The sequence below is a fragment of the Homo sapiens genome, chromosome 10, assembly GCF_000001405.40.
Source record: "Homo sapiens chromosome 10, GRCh38.p14 Primary Assembly".
NCBI classification, from domain to species: Eukaryota; Metazoa; Chordata; class Mammalia; order Primates; family Hominidae; genus Homo; species Homo sapiens.
Genome location: NC_000010.11, coordinates 32,129,071 through 32,149,051, shown reverse-complemented (window position 1 = coordinate 32,149,051; position 19,981 = coordinate 32,129,071). Strand labels below are relative to the sequence as shown.

General features: G+C 46.2%; 3 annotated features.

Moving 5' to 3' along the window:
* Nucleotides 5,293-5,362: a silencer, noted in NCBI's record as "silent region_2283". NCBI's record gives its function as "represses an Ori minimal core promoter by ATAC-STARR-seq in GM12878 lymphoblastoid cells {active_cell/tissue: GM12878}" and the evidence as "EXISTENCE:reporter gene assay evidence [ECO:0000049][PMID:35858748]".
* Nucleotides 5,403-5,452: a silencer, noted in NCBI's record as "silent region_2282". NCBI's record gives its function as "represses an Ori minimal core promoter by ATAC-STARR-seq in GM12878 lymphoblastoid cells {active_cell/tissue: GM12878}" and the evidence as "EXISTENCE:reporter gene assay evidence [ECO:0000049][PMID:35858748]".
* Nucleotides 9,086-9,815: an enhancer, noted in NCBI's record as "H3K27ac hESC enhancer chr10:32428165-32428894 (GRCh37/hg19 assembly coordinates)". NCBI's record gives its function as "activates a minimal SCP1, AML or CMV promoter by ChIP-STARR-seq in naive H9 embryonic stem cells {active_cell/tissue: H9 hESC(naive)}" and the evidence as "EXISTENCE:reporter gene assay evidence [ECO:0000049][PMID:30033119]".

Here is a 19,981-nt window from a genome sequence, read left to right as displayed (position 1 = left end):
AGGCCAGAGAGGCAGTTCCTCGGCAGGGGGTGGGGAGGTGGGTGGGTGGAATATCTCTGAGACCCCAAGGGAACATTTTTTTTTTTTTTGAGACAGGGTCTTGCTCTGTTGCCCAGGCTGGAATGCGATGGTGTGATTGCAACTCACACTGCAATCTCAGCCTCCCAGAGTTAAAGGCTGGGTGCAGTGGCTCACACCTGTAATCCCAGCACTTTGGAAGGCCGAGGTGGGTGGATCACCTGAGCTCAGGAGTTTGAGACCAGCGTGGCCAACATGGTGAAACCCCATATCTACTAAAAATACAAAAATTAGCCAGGCATGGTGGCGTGTGCCTGTAATCCCAGCTACCAGGGGGCTGAGGCAGGAGGATCGCTTGAACCTGGCAGGCGGAGGTTGCAGTGAGCCAAGATCGTGCCACTGCACTCCAGCCTGGGCAACAGGGCGAGACTCCATCTCAAAAAAGAAAACACAAAAAACAAACAAACAAAAAAAACCTCCCAGAGTCAAGTGATCCTCCCACCTCAGCCTCCTGAGTAGCTGGAACTACAGGCATGTACCACCACAATCAGCTAACTTATTTTTCAAGTTTTTTGTAGAAACAAGGTCTCCCTACATTGCCCAGGCTGGCCTCAAACTCCTGGCCTCAAGCGATCTTCCCACGTCAGCCTCTCAAAGTGCTAGGATTACCAGCCAAAGGGGACATTCTTGACCAGACGATGTCCCGAAGCACGGGAGTACTGGGCCATGTCAGTTCCGTGAGATTCGTCCTCTCTAGAATGAAACTGAGAGGATCAAGTGATATTAAATATAACAATATTAAGATTCAAAAAGTCTTTACCATTGCTCCAACAATCCCACTACTGGGTATCTACTCAAAAGGAAAGAAATCATTGTATCAAAAAGAATCTACCCCACTCATATGTTTATGGCAGCACTATTCATAGTAGCAAAAATATGTAATCAACCTAAGTGTCCATCAACATAGGATAAAGAAAATGTGGTATGTATACAGTATGGAATACTACTCAGACATAAAAAGGAATGAACTCATGACATTTACTGCACCATGGATGGAACTGGAAGCCATTATCCTAAGTGAAATCACTCAGAAACAGAAAGTCAAATACTGCACGTTCTCACTTAGAAGGGGGAGCAAAGCAATGGGTACCTGTGGACATACAGATGGAATATTAGACACCAGAGACTCCAAAGTGTGGGAAGGTGGGAAAGGGTGAGGGTCAAAAAATTACCTGTTGGGTACAATGTTCACAATTCAAGTAATGGGTTCACCAAAAGCCCAGACTTCACCACTATGCAATATATGCTTGTAAGAAATCTGCACTTCTATCCCCTAAATTAAAAAAAAAAAAAAAAGAGGCTGGGTGTGGTAGCTCAAACCTGTAATCCCAGCACTTTGCGAGGCTGAGGTGGAGGGAATCACTTGAGGTCAGGAGACCAGCTTGGCCAACATGGTTCAACTCTGTCTCACAAAAATACAAAAATTAGCTGGGCATGGTGGCAGGCACTTGTAATCCCAGCTACTTGGGAGGCTGAGGGAGGAGCATAGCTTGAACTCAGGAGGCGGAAGTTGCAGTGAGCCGAGATCATGCCACTGCACTCCAGCCTGGGCAACAGAGCAAGACTCCAACTCAAAAAAAAAAAAAAAAAAGAACATAGGTTGAATCAGTGGGTGCACGTGGACACACAGTGTGGAATAACAGACACTGGAGACTGTAAAACATGGGAGAGTGGGAGGGGGTGAGGGCTGAAAATTACCTATTGGGTGCAATGTTCACTATTTGGGTGATAGGTACCCTGAAAGCCCTGGCTTTACCACTACGCAATAGATGCATGTAAGAAACCTGCACTTGTAGGCCCTAACACTATAAAAATAAGCAAAAAAGAATACAGGTTTAAAGATGTAGGCACCCCCTGCTGACAAAAAAATCCCCACTGAAGTGTAAGCATCTGACCTAAGATCCTTTTCTGATATCAGATTTGGTGGTGGCAGGAACAAAAGGGCACCAATCCCAGAAGGGGGAGGCTAGATCAACTTTAGGTCACGACTTACTACTTTCCTGGTAAGTTTTACTTGCTCTAGAATACTCTAGTCTTAATATCTGCTCCCTTTAGGGTTATCAGTCTTGAAAAAAAAATGAAACATTTTTCAGTGTAAGTATGTCCCATGCAATATTTGGGACACACTAATATATCATTTGTTTTTCCATTGCTTTTTTTTTTTTTTTTTTTGGAGACAGTCTCACTCTGTTGCCCAGGCTGGAGTGCCATGGCATGATCTTGGCTCACTGCAACCTCCACCTTCTGGGTTCAAGCGATTCTCCTGCCTCAGCCTCTGGAGTAGCTGGGATTATGGGCACCTACCACCACGTCCAACTAATTTTTGTATTTTTAGTAGAGATGGGGTTTCACTATGTTGGCCAGGCTGGTCTCAAACTCCTGACCTCAGGCAATCCTCCTGCCTCAGCCTCCCAAAGTGCTGGGATTACAGGTGTTAGCCACTGCACTCAGCCTGAAATTCATATTTAACTGGGCATCCTGTATCTCACCTGGCAACCTTAGTTCTTTGATCTGAGAGTTTTCCACGGGGTATCTCACAGACAGAAGGGATGGGATGCCATCATCAAGCATCCCGACGTCAGAGAATGGGCCCAATGCCTTCCTATCCTGGCAGCTTAATATGAACTTGGAGCTGCACTCAGGAATGTCTGGACTGGGCATTAAAAGAACAGTTTTCACAGAGGACTCAAAAGGGACAATTGATGGTGGGAGTGGTGGCCAGGTCTGAGAGTGGTCATGACAGGATGGTGAGGAGGAGTGGGCAGGATGGAGCTTATGCTGAGCATTTGGTCATGCGTATTTGTTTTTCTGTTGCTACCATGGCAAATGACTGCCAAGTCAGTGACTTAAAACAACACCCATTTATTATCCCACAATTTCTGTGGGCCCTACATCCAGGTAGGCATGTCCAGGTCATGGGATTGAAATTCTGCCTCCCACAACAGGCTTTGGAAATTGACAATTCACTCTGGCTGGCCAGGGTTGGACAACCTCTCAAAGCAGAAGAGCAACTTCCTGTCATATCTGAGGCTACAACTGTTCATGTAGCCACTTAGGGTCCAGTGTGATATAACCAGGGTAGAGCCCAAAGAACTTTATTCTGGTTCCAGCTCTGCAGCCGCCACAAGAAAGAAACTTAGACAAGTATTTAAAGTCTCTGGCTGGCCTACTGTGGGAGGCCACGGTGGCTTACACCTGTAATTCCAACAGTTTGGGAGGCTGAGGCAGGGAAAATCCCTTGTGGCCAGGAGTTCAAGACCAGCCTGGGCAACATAGAAAGACCCTGTCTGTACAAAAAAAAATTTTTTTATTAGCTGGGCAAGGTGGCCTGTGCCTGTGGTCCCAGCTGCTCAGGAGGCTGAGATGGGAGGATTGCTTGAGCCCAGGAGTTCAAGGTTGTAGTAAGCAATGATTGTGCTACTGCACTCTGGTCTGGGCAACAGAGCAAGACCCTGTCCCCTCCAAAATAAATAAATAAATAAATAAATAAATAAATAAATAAATAAAGTAAGTAAGTAAGTCTCTGGGTACTTTATCTGTCAGATGTAGCATCCTGGAGGAGGAGTCTGGCTTCTGGTCAAATACCTACGTGTATGTGTTTTTTTTTCTGGCCCAACCCTAGGCAGTTACCTAGGCTTTACCTGGCAGGCCTCCCTGGGAAAAGCTGTCCTCCCCGCACCAGGCATGGTGCACAGCCAGGGCATTGCAAAGGGAGCTGCAGTCGAGGGCTCAGGCCCCGCTGGCCAGCTGTGCTCCTATACATAGCTGTGTTCCTAGCCCAGGTGCCCCTTCCTCAGGCCAAGACCTCTTATCGGGGGAGAGAGGAAAACTATGAAGAAACTTTTTGTCTACCCTGATGGTATTCGGTACTTTTCCACTCAGAGTCTTTGTCCCAGATTCCCTCTCCCCACCCCAGTCCCCCAGGACCATAAAACTGCAGGAGCCCTTTGCTCTGGGCTCCCTCAGTAGCGAGACACCTCCCCTGTGTGCCGTCTCTGCACTGACAGTGCACAAGCCAATGCTCTACGCTGTTCCACAGGGGGAGATGGAACCAGGGGCACTGGTGTTTTCTTCCACTTAGCATCTTGCTTACACTATTGTGGTAAGTGAATAAAGGGTGGACTCTCGCTTTATTTGGTTTATTTATTTATTTGACAAGGTCTTGCTCTATCACCCAGGCTGGAGTGCAGTGGCACAATCACAGCTCACTGCAACCTCAACCTTCCGGGCTCAAGTGATCCTCCCGTCTCAGCCTCCTGAGTAGCTGGGACTACAGGTGCTTGTCACCACACCTGGCTAATTTTTAATTTTTTTTTTTGTAGAGACAGAGTCTTGCTATGCTGCCCAGGGTGGTCTTGAACTCCTGGCCTCAGGCAGTCTCCTTGTCTCATACTCTCAAAGTCCTGGGATTACAGACATGAGCCATTGCACCCAGCCAAAGGGAATATTCTTGACCAGATGGTGTCCTGAAGTGCAGGAGTGCCAAGCCCTGTCACCACCACACCCAGCTAATTTATTTATTTATTTTTATTTTTAGTAGAGATGAGGTCTCACTATGTTGCCCAGGCTGGTCTAAAACCTCTGGCCTCAAGTGATCCTCCCGTCTTGGCCTCTCAAAAGGCTGGGATTTCTAGGCATGAGCCACCGCCCCAGCTTGATGTCCTAAAGCATGAGTGCACAATGACCCCATGAATGCAATGCCCCTCAAAACCGCTGGTTCTTTAATGAGGCCATTTAAGAATTAGAGTTCTGGCTGGGTGCAGTGGCTCACGCCTGTAATTTCAGCCCTTCAGGAGGCCGAGGCAGGTGGATCATCTGAGGTCAGGAGTTCGAGACCAGCCTGACCAACATGAAGAAACCCTGTCTCTATGAAAAATACAAAACTAGCCAGGCGTGGTGGTGCATGCCTGTAATCTCAGCTACTTGGGAGGCTGAGGCAGGAGAATAGCTTGAACCCGGGAGGCGGAGGTTACAGTGAGCCGAGATCGCACCATTGCACTCCAGCCTGGGCAACAAGAGTGAAACTCCATCTCAAAAAAAAAAAAAAAAAAAAAAGAATCAGAGTTCTAGCCTGTCACGGTGGCTCACGCCTGTAATCCCAACACTTTGGGAGGCCAAGGCAGGAGGATCGCCAGAAGTTCAAGATCAGCAACATGATGAGACCCCATCTCTATAAAAAATACAAAAAGTAGCCAAATGTGGTGGTACATTCTTATAGTTCCAGCTACTTGGGAGACTGAGGTGGGAGGATCACTTGAGCCCAAGAGTTCGAGGCTGCGGGTGAGCCACTGCACCTGGCCAAGACTCTCACTTTCATTTCAGTTTGCTGTCTTAATCGGCAGCCCCCGGCAGTTCAGCCCTCTCCAGCTCAGCAGAGCTCTTGACAACACTGCCCAGACTAGTTGCCCTAGTAGTGTCATGAGTTACAAGGCTCATTCATTCATAGATTCAATAACATTTATTCAGCACCTATTATGGGCTGGGCACTTGCTGGGTGCCAGGGATACAAAGATGAGTAAGTCCTGTCCCATCACCGGCATGAAGCCAGTTCCAGTTGAGACACGTTGATTGATTCATTAGGATACAGTGTAATTCCTTCTTCCATCAAGTATTTTTTGAAAGCCTGACTTCTTGCTTGGGACCTCATATAATCCTCACAATGATTCTTTGAGATAAATTTTGTGATTGTCTTTATTGTATGGATTAGCAAACCAAGGTTCAGAGAATAAAATTTTGAGTGAATATTTTAGGCCTTCTAACTAATAAGTGATAGATGAGGATTCAAACTCAGGACTTCTGGTTTAAGTTTAGTGTGCTCTGTCTCTTTCATGCCACCCAGAGATAAGCTCTAAATAAGGACACAGAGGAAGGAATAGATTCTTCTTGGGGCTAAAGGAGGGGAATGCAGCAATATCTCAGGACTTCGAAAAAGTGCTACATACAATTACTATTATTGCTATCATAATTTAAACTCTTACTGCTTTTAATTAATGAAGATAAAAGTTGTGTGTCATCCATAAGACATCTTGCAAAGCCCTAACTTCTCCCTGAGATGGAAAGTTCCCTTGTTATGGGCATTACTCACAGCTGGTCCCTCTGGCCTATGTGCTGATGACATCAATGCTCAAGGCCATAGTGTGAGCGGTTTTCTCCAGGTGGGTTTTTGGAAAATCTGTGCATAATGACCTGCTAAACAATGACTCTCCAAAAATAGTGATTCATGAATGTGGCCATTTAAGAATCAGAGTCCTAGCTTGGCACGGTGGCTCACACCTGTAATCTCAGCATTTTGGGAGGCCAAGGCAAGAGGATGACCAGGAGTTCAAGACCAGCCTGGGCAATAAAGAGAGACTCCTTCTCTACCAAAAAAATACAAAAATTAGCTGGGTATGGTAGTGTGTTCCTGTAGTCCCAGCTACTTGGGAGACTGAGGTAGTAAGCTATGGAGTTTGAGCCCAGGAGTTTGAGGCTGCAGTGAGCTATGATTGTGTCACTGCACTGTAGCTCAGGCGGCAGAGTGAGTTTCTGTCTCTAAAAAAAAAAAAAAAGAGAGAATCAGTCCAGGCATGGTGGCTCATGCCTGTAATCTCAGCGCTTTGGGAGGCCAAGGCAGGAGGATCGCCTGAGTCCAGGAGTTTGAGACCAGCCTGGGCAATATAGCCAGTGTGGTGATGTTGCCTCTAGTCCCAGCTACTCAGGAGGCTGAGGTGGAAGGATGGCTTCAGCCCAGGAAGTCAAGGCTGCAGTGAACCCTGATGGAGCCACTGCACTCCAGCCCAGGTGACAGAGTGAGACCCTGTGTCAAAAAAAAAAAAAAAAAAGGCTGGTTCTGGTGGCTCACGCCTGTAATCCCAGCACTTCTGGAGGCCAAGGTGGGTGGATCACCTGGGGTCAGGAGTTCAAGACCAGCCTGGCCAACATGGTGAAACCCCATCTCTACTAAAAATACAAAAATTAGCTGGGCATGGTGGTGGGCATCTGTAATCTCAGCTACTTGGGAGGCTGAGGCAGGAGAATCACTTGAACCTGGGGGATGGAGGTCGTGCCACTGCACTCCAGCCTGGGTGACAGAGCGAGACTCCATCTCAAAAAAACAAACAAGCAAACAAACAAACAAAAAGCAAAACAAAAAAGAGAGAGAATCAGAGTCCCATCTGGACATAGAGGAATCCACTTACTCCACCTCTCCGGCTTGAAGGGAAAAGCTAAGCGTGGGAGTTTGCAGAATGACAATAAAGGGCGCAGCACAACTTGGAGCTACACGCAAAAGTGAGCATGATGTCACTGTCTCCTCCTTGAAACATTTCTTCTGTTTCCATGAGTGTGAAGGTATTGGGAAATATTTAAGATAAGTGCTGTTGTCTGGGGCTCCAGGACCTCTGGGGCTCCGGGACGTCTGTGCCTCCCGACAGAGATGAAGGCATGGAGGCCAACCCCGGCATGTGCCCATCGCAGGGTGGCTTCCTAGTTTTGTTTGTTCATTTCACCCCCACTTACTTCCCAGTCCTTCTTCCTTTCCAGGCTTCTCATGAAAAACACAGCCATCCCTAAGGACCCCAGAGGCCCTGCACCTTGGCTGTGCATCTGCCCCTGAAAAAATTCTGCAGCCACAGAAACAAATGCAATTTTCTTGTCTCAGGTCACCTTCAGTTAAGCTTGAATCAGCCAGCCCAAGTGACCGGCTATGACATTCATTTCCCTCTTAGATCTCTGCTCCTCCTAAACAATAAAGCTTCAAGGTGCCAACAAGGAAGACTGAATTTTATTCTGTCAGATTGAGTGGTAGCCAACTGATGACCTCACTCAATTTCAGGCTTCCCAGTTATCAAACAGGACTTGCATAAGCACCGATGATCTGAAATTAAGTTTACTGGAGAAGGAGTACAAAGAGCTACTAAGTACCGTGAAGCTCTTGTTAGTTATTGAGTAGTAATAGGAATCAGTAGAATCCCCATTCATTTGTATCTCTTCTCGTAATAAGCATCAATTGAGCACCCACTGCATGCAGGGCCCTCTGCTTGTCACCCATGGGGGTACACAGACACAATCTCTACCCTTCCAGAATTTAGCACCTTAAAACCAGCCAAGTGGAGTGCTGGAAACGAGGGGCAAAAGGTGTCCTCAGTGGTGCGCTAAGTTGGTTCTGAGCAATGTGTCACAGTGCAAACCAAAAATAAAATTCTAAAGCCCACTAACCATCTGAATGGATCCCTCCTTTCAGCCAATGGCATTTGAAAGTTCACCTGAAAAAACTAGTTCAGGCCATGATGGAAGGGGGCGTTGGACATGCCTCATGATCCCCTCCTGTCTTTGGAATTCAGGAAAAGCTGACCAACATTAACATTAACACAGACCTTAAGTCTGATAAGAAACATTTACAATCTATTCTCTCTGAAGCCTACTACCCAGAGGCTTCATCCGCATGATAAAAACTTGGTGTCTACAACCCCTTTTCGTAACCCAAACATTCCTTTCTGTTGATAATAACTTTTTCAACCAATTGCCAAACAGAACATTTTAAAATCTATCTATGACCTGGAAGCTGCCCCATCTTTAAGTTGTCCCGCCCTTCCAGATGGAACCAATACACATCTTAGACATATTGATTAATGTCTCGTGTCTCCATCAAATGTATAAAAGCAAGCTATGCCCCGACCTTGTTGGGCACATGTCACCAGGACCCCCTGAGGTGTGTCATGGGTGCATCCTTAACCTTGGCAAGATAAGCTTTCTAAATTGACTGAGTCCTGTCTCAGATGCTTCTGGGTTCATAACGGATACCCCATACCTACATTTTGAATAAACAAGCAAGACTGATGATGGCTGGGTGTGGCGGCTCAAGTCTGTAATCCAAGCACTTTGGGAGGCTGAGGTAGGTGGATCACTTGAGGCCAGGAGTTTGAGACTGGCCTGGTCAACATGGCGAAACCCTATGGCGAAACCCTATCTCTACAAAAAAAAAAAAAAAAAAAAAATGAGCTGAGCATGGTGGCGCATGCCTGTAGTCCCAGCTACTTGGGAGGCTGAGATGGGAGGATTGTTTCAGCCCAGGAGATGAAGGTTGCAGTGAGCCCTAGTTGCGCCTTTGCACTCCAGCCTGGGTGACAGAGTGAGATCCCATCTCAAAAAAAGAATGATGCTGACCACAGCTGGTTTTGCTCACATGTCTCTTTAGTCATCGGAGAGGCCAGGCCCTGGCCAACCCCCAGTCCTCCCGCTGGACTTAATGCATGTGGGCAGTTTGGTTTCTGCCAAAGGCCAACAGGGTTCACCTCAGGTCTGTTAGTGGCACTTTGGGGCTTTAAGTGCAGTCATTTTTAATTCATGAAATTCAAAGGAGACACTGAATGAGTTGGCTCTCCAGCCCTTAACAGGCTGGCCTGAGCATTTTGGGGCGGAAGCATTTTGTAAGGGATTGGAGAAGCCACGCCTTGACCCAGGCAGGGAAAAGGATGACTCAGCCTGAGCCACTGAGGTTGGGCAGGAAACAGCTGATTCTCCTGCTGTGGTGCTAGGCAGGACTGCCTCCCCGCGGGGAGCGGCAGGGGGGTGGGCAGGGGAACAGGTTGCCTTGGGAATCTGGAGTGACTTTAACTGGCAGCTCTTTTTCTTCTCTTCCTTGGGTTATTCCTGGGGATTTGGGGAAAGAGTTGAGCAACAGGCTGGGTTAAAGGAGACAAAATAGAAAGGAAATGAGGAGCTCTGCAAGGCCATCCCTCGAAATAGGCCAGCAAATTCAACTCTTGGAGCCTCTTAGGGAGTCAGGTGGAACCAGGAGGAGCACAAAACACAGGAGAGATCCTTAACACACTGTAAAACGTGAATGTGTTTTTTTGCACCTGGCAAGAAGCCCCCAAAGCTGTACTCTTCAAGGAACTGCCAGCAGCCTGCAGAGATGGTCTTGCGTAGCTTCTGTCAGTCAAGAAAAATGATGAGACAAGTCTCATTTTAGGAGGTTTATTTGCCAAAGCTAAGGACGCACACTGTGACACAGCCTCAGGAGGTCCTGATGACATGTGTCCAAGGTGGGTCGGGGCACAGCTTGGTTTTACACATTTAGGGAGACATGAGACATCAATCAATATATTTAAGAAGTACATTGGTTTGTCCAAAAAGGTGGGTGCCAGGCCTCTGAGCCCAAGCTAAGCCATCATATCCCCTGTAACCTGCATGTATACATCCAGATGGCCTGAAGCAACTGAAGATTCACAAAAGAAGTGAAAATAGCCTTAACTGATGACATTCCACCATTGTGATTTGTTCCTGCCCTACCCTTACTGATACATACATTCTGCCCCACCCTTAAGAAGGTAATTTGTAATATTCTCCCCTAGCCCTTAAGAAGGTACTTTGTATGCCTATCCCAAACCTATAAGAACTAATGATAATCCCACCACCCTTTGCTGACTCCTTTTTTGGACTCAGCCTGCCTGCACCCAGGTGAAATATACAGCCTTGTTGCTCACACAAAGCCTGTTGGTGGACTCTCTTCACACGGACCCGCGTGACATTTGGTGCCGAAGACCCGGGACAGGAGGACTCCTTCGGGAGACCGGTCCCCTGTCCTCGCCCTCACTCCCTAGGGAGATCCACCTACGACCTCAGGTCCTCAGCCCAACCAGCCCAAGGAACATCTCACCAATTTCAAATCTGGTAAGCGGTGTTTTCACTCGTCTTCAGCCTCTCTTGCTACCCTTCAATCTTCCTCTCTCGCTACCCTTCAATCTCCCTGTCCTTCCAATTCCAGTTATTTTCCCTCTCTAGTAGAGACAAAGGAGACACATTTTATCCGTGGACCCGAAACTCCGGCGCCGGTCACGGACTCGGGAAGACAGTCTTCCCTTGGTGTTTAATCACTGCGGGGACGCCTGCCTGATTATTCACCCACATTTCATTGGTGTCTGATCACCACGGGGACGCCTGCCTTGGTCATTCACCCACATTCCCTTGGTGGCAAGTCAATTGCGGGGACGCCTGCTTTGGCTGCTCACCCACCCCCTTCTCTGTGTCTCTACCTTTCTCTTTAAACTTACCTCCTTCACTATGGGCAACCTTCCGCCCTCCATTTCCCCTTCTTCTCCCTTAGCCTGTGTGAAAAGCTCCCAATGTGACTTGTCTCAAATCTTTCTTCTTTCTTTCCTGTCTGTTCGTTCAGTTTCCACCCGAAGCTCTGAGTCCTTTGAATCCTTCTTTTCTACGGACTCATCCGACCTCTCCCCTTCTCCCCAGGCTGCTCCTCGCCAGGCCTAGCCAGGTCCCAATTCTTCCTCAGCCTCTGCTCCCCCTCCCTATAATCTTTCTATTATCTCCCCTCCTCATACCTGGTCTGGCCTACAGTTTTGTTGCGCGACTAGCCCTCCTCCACCTGCCCAACAATTTCCTCTTAAGGAGGTGGCTGGAGCTAAAGGCATAGTCAAGGTTAATGCTCCTTTTTTCTTTTTCTGACCTCTCCCAGATCAGTTAGCATTTAGGCTCTTTTTCATCAAATATACAAACCCAGCCCAGTTCATGGCCCGTTTGGCAACAACCCTTAGACACTTTACTGTCCTAGACACCAGAGGAAGGCTGTCTTATTCTCAATATACATTTTATTACCCAATCCACTCCCAACATTAGAACAAGTGCCAAAAATTAGATTCCGGCCCTCAAACCCCACAACAGGACATAATTAACCTCACCTTCAAGGTGTACAATAATAGAGTAGAGGCAGCCAAGTAGCCACGTATTTCTGAGTTGCAATTACTTGCCTCCACTGTGAGAGAAACTCCAGCCACATCTCCAGCACACAAGAATTCCAAAACGTCTGAACCGCAGTGGCCAGCTGTTCCTCCAGGACCGCCTCCCCCAGGATCTTGCTTCAAGTGCTGGAAATCTGGCCACTAGGCCAAGGAATGTCTGCAGCCCGGGATTCCTCCTAAGCCATGTCCCATCTGTGCAGGACCCCACTGGAAATCCGACTGTCCAACCCCACAGCCACTCCCAGAGCCCCTGGAACTCTGGCCCAAGGCTCTCTGACTGACTCCCTCCCAGATCTTCTCGGCTTAGCAGCTGAAGACTGACACTGCCTGATTGCCTTGGAAGACTATAGGACCATCACAGATGCTTTGCGTAACTCTTACAGTGGAGGGTAAGTGGGTCCCCTTCTTAATCAATACGGAGGCTACCCACTCCACATTACCTTCTTTTCAAGGGCCTGTTTCCCTTGCCCCCCATAACTGTTGTGGGTATTGACGGCCAAGCTTCACAACCCCTTAAAACTCCCCCACTCTGGTGCCAACTTGGACAACATTCTTTTATGCACTCTTTTTTAGTTATCCCCATCTGCCCAGTTCCCTTATTAGGTGGAGACATTTTAACTACATTATCTGCTTCCCTGATTATTCCTGGGCTACAACCACACCTCATTGCTGCCTTTTCTCCCAGTTCAAAGCCTCCTTCACATCCTCTCCTTGTATCTCCCCACCTTAATCCACAAGTATAGGACACTTCTACTCCTCCTTGACGATCGATCATGCACCCCTTACCATCCCATTAAAACCTAATCACCCTTACCCTGCTCAATGCCAATATCCCATCCCACAGTATGCTTTAAAAGGATTAAAGCCTGTTATCACTTGCCTATTACAGCATGGCCTTTTAAAGCCTATAAACTCTCCTTACAATTCCCCCATTTTACCTGACCAAAAACCAGACAAGTCTTACAGCTTAGTTCAGGATCTGTGCCTTATCAACCAAATTGTCTGGCTTATCCACCCCTTGGTGCCAAACCCATATACTCTCCTATCCTCAATACCTCCCTCCACAACCCAGTCTAGATAAACCTAGCTGACCCCATAAATCCTAAATCCTTTCCCCACTCCCCTTTCCATTCCTTAAAAAACAGCCCTAAAAGCTGCTCCCACACTAGCTTTCCCTAACTCATCCCAACCCTTTTTATTACACACAGCCGAAGTACAGGGCTGTGCGGTCAGAATTCTTACACAAGAGCCGGGACCGTGCCCTGTAGCCTTTCTGTCCAAACAACTTGACCTAACTGATTTAGCATAGCCCTCATGTCTGTGTGTGGCAGCTGCCGCTGCTTTAATAATTTTAGAGGCCCTCAAAATCACAAGCTATGCTCCACTTAACTCTCTACAGTTCCCATAACTTTCAAAATCTATTTTCCTCCTCACACTTGATGCATATACTTTCTGCCCCCTAGCACCTTCAGCTATATACTCAGTCTTTGTTGAGTCTCCCACAATTACCATTGTTCCTGGCCCAGACTTCAATCCGGCCTCCCACATTATTCTGGATACCACACCTGACCCCCATGACTGTATCTCTCTGATCCACCTGACATTCACTCCATTTCCCCATATTTCCTTCTTTCCTGTTCCTCACCCTGATCACACTTGGTTTATTGATGGCAGTTCCACCAGGCCTAATTGCCACTCACCAGCAAAGGCAGGCTATGCTATAGTATCTTACATGTCTATCATTGAGGCTACTGCTCTGCCCCCCTCCACTACCTCTCAGTAAGCCAAACTCATTGCCTTAACTGGGGCCATCACTCTTGCAAAGGGACTACGCATCAATATTTATACTGACTCTAAATATGCCTTGCATATCCTGCACCATCATGCTGTTATATGGGCAGAAATAAATTTCCTCACTATGCAAGGGTCCTCCATCATCAATGCCTTTTTAATAAAAACTCTTTTCAAAGCCGCTTTACTTCCAAAGGAAGCTGGAGTCATTCACTGCAAGGGCCATCAAAAGGCATCAGATCTCATCACTCAGGGCAACACTTATGCTGATAAGGTAGCTAAAGAAGCAGCTAGCTTCCAACTTCTGTCCCTCATGACCAGTTTTTCTCCTTCTCATTGGTCACTCCTCTTTACTCTCCCACTGAAGTTTCCACCTATCAATCTCTTCCCACACAAGGCAAATGGTTCTTGAACCAAGGAAAATATCTCCTTCCAGCCTCACAGGCCCATTCTATTCTGTTGTCATTTCATAACCTCTTCCATGTAGGTTACAAGCCGTTCGCCCACCTCTTAAATCCTCTCATTTCCTTTCCATCATGAATATCTATCCCCAATCCTCCACTCTTGACTCCCTCTTGGAGTGGATAGATGATCTTTGCTGACAGGACACACTCCAACACTTTCATCCCGATGAAGTCCTATTGTTTACTTTTATACTCACTCTTATTCTCGTTCCCATTCTTATGCCACCTACTACCTCTCCCCAGCTATCTCCACCACACTATCAATCTCACTCACTATCTCCTAGCCATTTCTAATCGTTCTTTAACAAACAATTGCTGGCTTTGCATTTCTCTTTCCTCCAAAATCGCTGAGGCCTCAATTTACTCACTGCTGAAAAATGAGGACTCTGTATATTTTTAAATGAAGAGTGTTGTTTTCACCTAAATCAACCTGGCCTGGTATATGACAACATAAAAAAACTCAAGGATAGAGCCCAAAAACTCACCAACCAAGCAACTAATTATGCTGAACCCCCTTGGTCACTCTGTACTTGGATGTCCTGGGTCCTCCCAATTCTTAGTCCTTTAATACCTGTTATTCTCCTTCTCTTATTTGGACCTTGTATTTTCCTTTTAGTTTCTCAGTTCATACAAAACCGCATCCAGGCCATCACCAATAATTCTATATGACAAATGCTCCTTCTAACAACCCCACAATATCACCCCTTACCCCAAAATTTTTCTTCAGTTTAATCTCTCCCACTCTAGGTTCCCATGCCACCCTTAATCCCGCTCGAAGCAGCCCTGAGAAACATCACCCATTATCTCTCCATACCACTCCCAAAAATTTTCACCGTCCCAACACTTCACCACTATTTTGTTTTGTTTTTCTTATTAATATATGAAGACAGGAATGTCAGGCCTCTGAGCCCAAGCTAAGCCATTATATCCCCTGTGACTTGCATGTATACATCCAGATGGCCTGAAGCAACTGAAGATCCACAAAAGAAGCGAAAATAGCCTTAACTGATGACATTCCACCATCGTGATTTGTTCCTGCCCCACCCTAACTGATACATATATTGTCCTCCACCCTTAAGAAGGTACTTTGTAATATTCTTCCCCCACCCTTAAGAAGGTACTTTGTACGCCTATCCCAAACCTATAAGAACTAATGATAATCCCACCACCCTTTGCTGACTCCTTTTTCAGACTCAGCCTGCCTGCATCCAGGTGAAATAAACAGCCTTGTTGCTCACACAAAGCCTGTTGGTGGACTCTCTTCACACAGACTTGCGTGACAGTGGGGACAACTCAAAGCAGGGAGGGGGCTTCCAGGTCACAGGTAGGTGAGAGACAAATGGTTGCATTCTTTGAGTTTCTGATAAGCTTTTCCAAAGGAGGCAATATGCATCTATTTCAGTGAGCGGAGGGATGACTTTGAATAGAATGGGAGGCAGGTTTGTCCTGAACAATTCCCAGCTTGACTTTTCCCTTAGCTTGGTAAATCTGGGACCCCAAGATTTTCCTTTCACACTTCTCTAGGGCCCAGGAACTGCTGAGTTGGAGTCAGCCATTGTGACTCTTTTTCTTTTCTTTTTTTTCTTGTAGAGATGGAGTCTCACTGTTTGGCCCAGGCTAGTCTCAAACTCCTGGCCTCAATCCATCCTCCTGCCTCAGCCTCCCAAAGTGCTGAAATTACAGGTGTGAAACACTGTGCCCCGCCTCCACTGTGACTTTATTTCCATTCTTTGTGTCTCAGAATCCTCATTTGTAAAATAAAGTTAATAATAGAAGCTACCTGTAGGGCTGTTTGTGAGGATTAATGAATCAAAATGGATGAAGCACATAGAACAGTTCATGGCGCAGGGTAAGAGCTTCATAAATGTTTAGGCATTTTTATGAGTAGGTCAAGAAGAAGGCATTGGTCAACACAAACAGTTGTGCAGACACTGACTATTAAACTGTAGCCGGAGGTAAGGGTTGACTTAAAAGGGAGAAGCTGAGGTAAGTTGCCCTGAATATCCACTCCAATGTGCAGTAGTTGCAAGTGGATTTTTAAAGGCAAAAAGAGGGAGACAGGGAGTGGGCTAAGACAAAGCTGCTTGTCAGGAATTCCCATTGGTTTACAGAAATAACACTGATTAGCTATACACTGTGAAGCTTTAGGGTGTGGGTTATGGTGTCCCATGTGGCATTATTAGATTAATTTATAGCTGCCTGTGGCAATAGCAAGCCATTTCAAGAAATGAATACATAGCTCAAAGCAGGGAGTAGGGCATGATTGTGAGACAGCCAAATGCCTAGGCATATTAAAAGAGGTCCCCGGAGAATCTCCGACCTGCCCCACAAGTGTTTACATGAGATACTTTTGTGCAGATGAGGGAACCTGCCCAGGGCCTTGTCTGAGCCTGCCAACATGCGCACTGGGGGATGGGGCGGAGCCACAGGCAGTGGGAGGAGCCTGGCCTCTTCAGTTCCTGTGTGGCGGCCTGGGATTCAATCTGTGAGGTGGGGGGCCTATTAGCAGGACTCCATCTCGTTTTGCTGTTTTTTTCTTTTTTCTCTTTTCACCCAATAAAATCCTGCTCTACTCACCCTTTAATGTGTCTGCGTGCCTAAATTTCCTGGTTGTGTGAAAAGAACCCACTTACAACTGAACTAAGGAGCAAAATTCTGCAACAATTGCTGCCTGTTTTTAATACCTCTCTGGGCCCAATAATTAAAAGGACTTGTGTTCCTCAGATAAAAGTTCTTTTCTTTTCTCATAACTGAATATTTTTCTTAGTTTTAAGAAGCCATAGGAAAGACGCATTTCTGTAGGAAGTAACTGTACCTATAGCCCAATCTGGATGCAGTTCTTTCCTTCTTCCAAGCCTGGGGGTATGTTTCCTCTGTGGATGAAAAGAGTGAAACTCTGTAAAATATTTGAGGAGATTTATGCTGAACCAAATAGGAGTGACCATGGCCCATGACCCAGCCCTCAGGAGGCCCTGAGAACATGCACCCAAGGTGGTAGGGGTGCAGCTGGGTTTTATACATTTTAGGGAGGCATGAGACTTCAATACAATACATTTAAGAAATACATGGGTTTAGTTCAGAAAGGCAGGACAACTGGAAGCAAGGAGTGGGGTGCAGGGGGTGGGGGAGGCTCCAGGCTATAGGTAGATTTAAACATTTTTTTGTTAACAATTGGGTGAGTTTCTCTAAAGACCTTGGATCAATAGAAAGGAAATGTTTGGGTTAAGATAAAGAATTGTGGAGACCAAAGTTCTTATTTGCAGAGGAAGCCTTCGGGTAGTAGGCTTCAGAGAGAATAGGTTGTAAAATATTTCTTATCAGACTTAAAGTCTGTGTTGATGTTACTGCCAGAGAGGTATAATGAGGCACATCCGATCCCCACTTCCTGTCATGGCCTGAACCAGTTTTTCAGGTTAAATTTTAAGATTGTTCTGGCCAAGAAGGAAGTCAGTTCAGATGGTTGGGGGGGCCTTAGAATTTTATTTTTGGTTTACAGCTCGATTGTCTAGAACAGTGCTTCTTACTCTTGAATGGTATATAAATTACCCAGGATTGTGTAAAAAGCAGATTCTCTCTCAGTAGGTCTGGACACAGCTGAGATTCCACATTTCTTCCAAGCTCCCAGGTGATGTTCCTGCTGCTGGTTCACAAATACTGGTCCCAGGGATCCAGCACAGTCCGCAGAACTTCCGGTGATGATGGAAATCTCTACCTGAGCCACTAATCATATGTGACTATGGACCAATTGAAATGTGGCTATTGAAAACTGAAGTTTTCATTGCATTAAAATGAAGTATAAATGACTGTATGGCAAGTGGCTACCTTACTGGACAACACAGCTCTAGACTCATGCCCAGAAGGTCCAGGTCATGATCTGGATTCTTGTTAGAGACACAGACCAAACCATGTTCAGGACCACATATTACATCTTAGATAATAATGAGGACTCAGCAAAAAGGTGTGTACAGCTCTACCCAGACCATCTACATACCCAGAATGTACAGTCAACACATGTGCTCTGATATCTGTAAATGTCAGTAAAATAACTTTCCTATTTGCAGATAAACTTCCTGGTAGAGCTGTCTGACTGAGTTCCTTCCCTCACCTCTGGACCTGGGGCTAGAACCACTATTGTAGTCTGTGCGTTCGTAAAGAAAAAATAAAAATGAGGTATTTAATTAACATTATTTCTGTGATCTCCTCAGTTCCATAATTTTTACTTCTCAATTGTTTTCTTTGCATGCCTTTAGGGCATGCCCTTGATATCCACAAACAACATAAAAACAGGCATTCTCTGCACGTAAAAAAATGGAAAGTTTGTAAAATTGAGAAGAGTTAAAAAAAGATCTTTATCTGACCAGCTGTGGTGGCTCACGCCTGTAATCCCAGCACTTTGGGAGGCCAAGGTGGGTGGATCACGAGGTCAGGAGATCGAGACCATCCTGGCTAACACAGTGAAACCCCATCTCTACTAAAAATACAAAACATTAGCTGGGCGTGGTGGTGGGCGCTTGTAGTCCCAGCTACTTGAGAGGCTGAGGCAGGAGAATGGCGTGAACCCGGGAGGCGGAGCTTGCAGTGAGCCGAGATGGCGCCACTGCACTCCAGCCTGGGTGACAGAGTGAGACTCTGTCTCAAAAAAAAAAAAAAAAAACTTTATCTGACTACATTGTGAAATAATAATAAAATAACTAGGAATGTTTGATATTCAGGAATTTTTCTCAGGTTGAAAATTATTTCCAAGTGTTTAGCTTTCTTCTGGGTTGTTCCAAATAATCTTTGTGGTTTCTTTTTGTTTTTGAGATGGGGTCTTGCTCTGTCGCCCAGGCTGGAGTGCAGTGGCACGATCTTGGCTCACTGCAACCTCTGCCTCCTGGGTTCAAGTGATTCTCCTGCCTCAGCTCCCCTTTTGTATTTTTAGTAGAGGCAGGGTTTCGCCATGTTGGCCAGGCTGGTCTCGAACTTCCCATCTCAGGTGATCTGTCCGCCTCGGCCTCTCAAAGTGCTGAGATTACAGGTGTGAGCCACTGTGCCCAGCCCAAATAATCTTTGATTTCTGCCAGTGCATTCTTGGGTGAGCTGGATGTGTCAAACATCCTGGATAAATGGTGAGAAGACTTACACCCATATCAGTGACAAATAACTGACTCTGATCCAAAGCATGCAGCCAGGTTCTGAGCAGATGCCGGGGCCTGATGCCTCAGAATTGATAGGAAGAGGAAACCAGCCCTGTTTTTCACTACCTCTTGCTGAGAAATGTATCCATGCTTTTACATGCTCCTGGTGTTACATGGAAGAGATCAATTTCAATTGTCTCCAAGTTACTGTACTGATTTTATAAATGACTCTGCATTTAAGAGGACACTTCACATTTTAGCATGTGAATGGCTGAAACCTTAATAGACAACACTTTATAGTAGGGACAAAGTGAAGAGCTGTTATATTGGTTATGAGAGCTCTCTACTGCAACATAGACTGTCAAATTGAATTTAATAGCAAGGAGTTGACAGCAATCATGAAATAATAGCAATGAGTAGCTACCCTTTATTTCATGATAGTGGAAAGTTTTTTCTATATCCTTATTGCTTTTATAGGGTCTGGGTGTAGTGGTCATGCCTGTAGTCCCAACACTTTGGGAGGCCAAGGCAGGTGGATTGCTTGAGCCCAAGAGTTCAAGACCAGCCTGGGCAACACAGCAAGACCCTGTCTGTACAAAAAATTAAAAAATTAGCCTGGCATGGTGGCACACACCTGTAGTCCCAGTTACTCAGTAGGCTGAGGTGGGAGGATTACTTGAGCCCAGGAGGTTGCGGCTGCAGTGAGTCGAGATCATGCCACTGCACTCCAGCCTGGGTGACAAAGAGTGATCCTGTCAAAAAAAAAAAAAAAAAAAAAAGAAAGAAAGAAAGA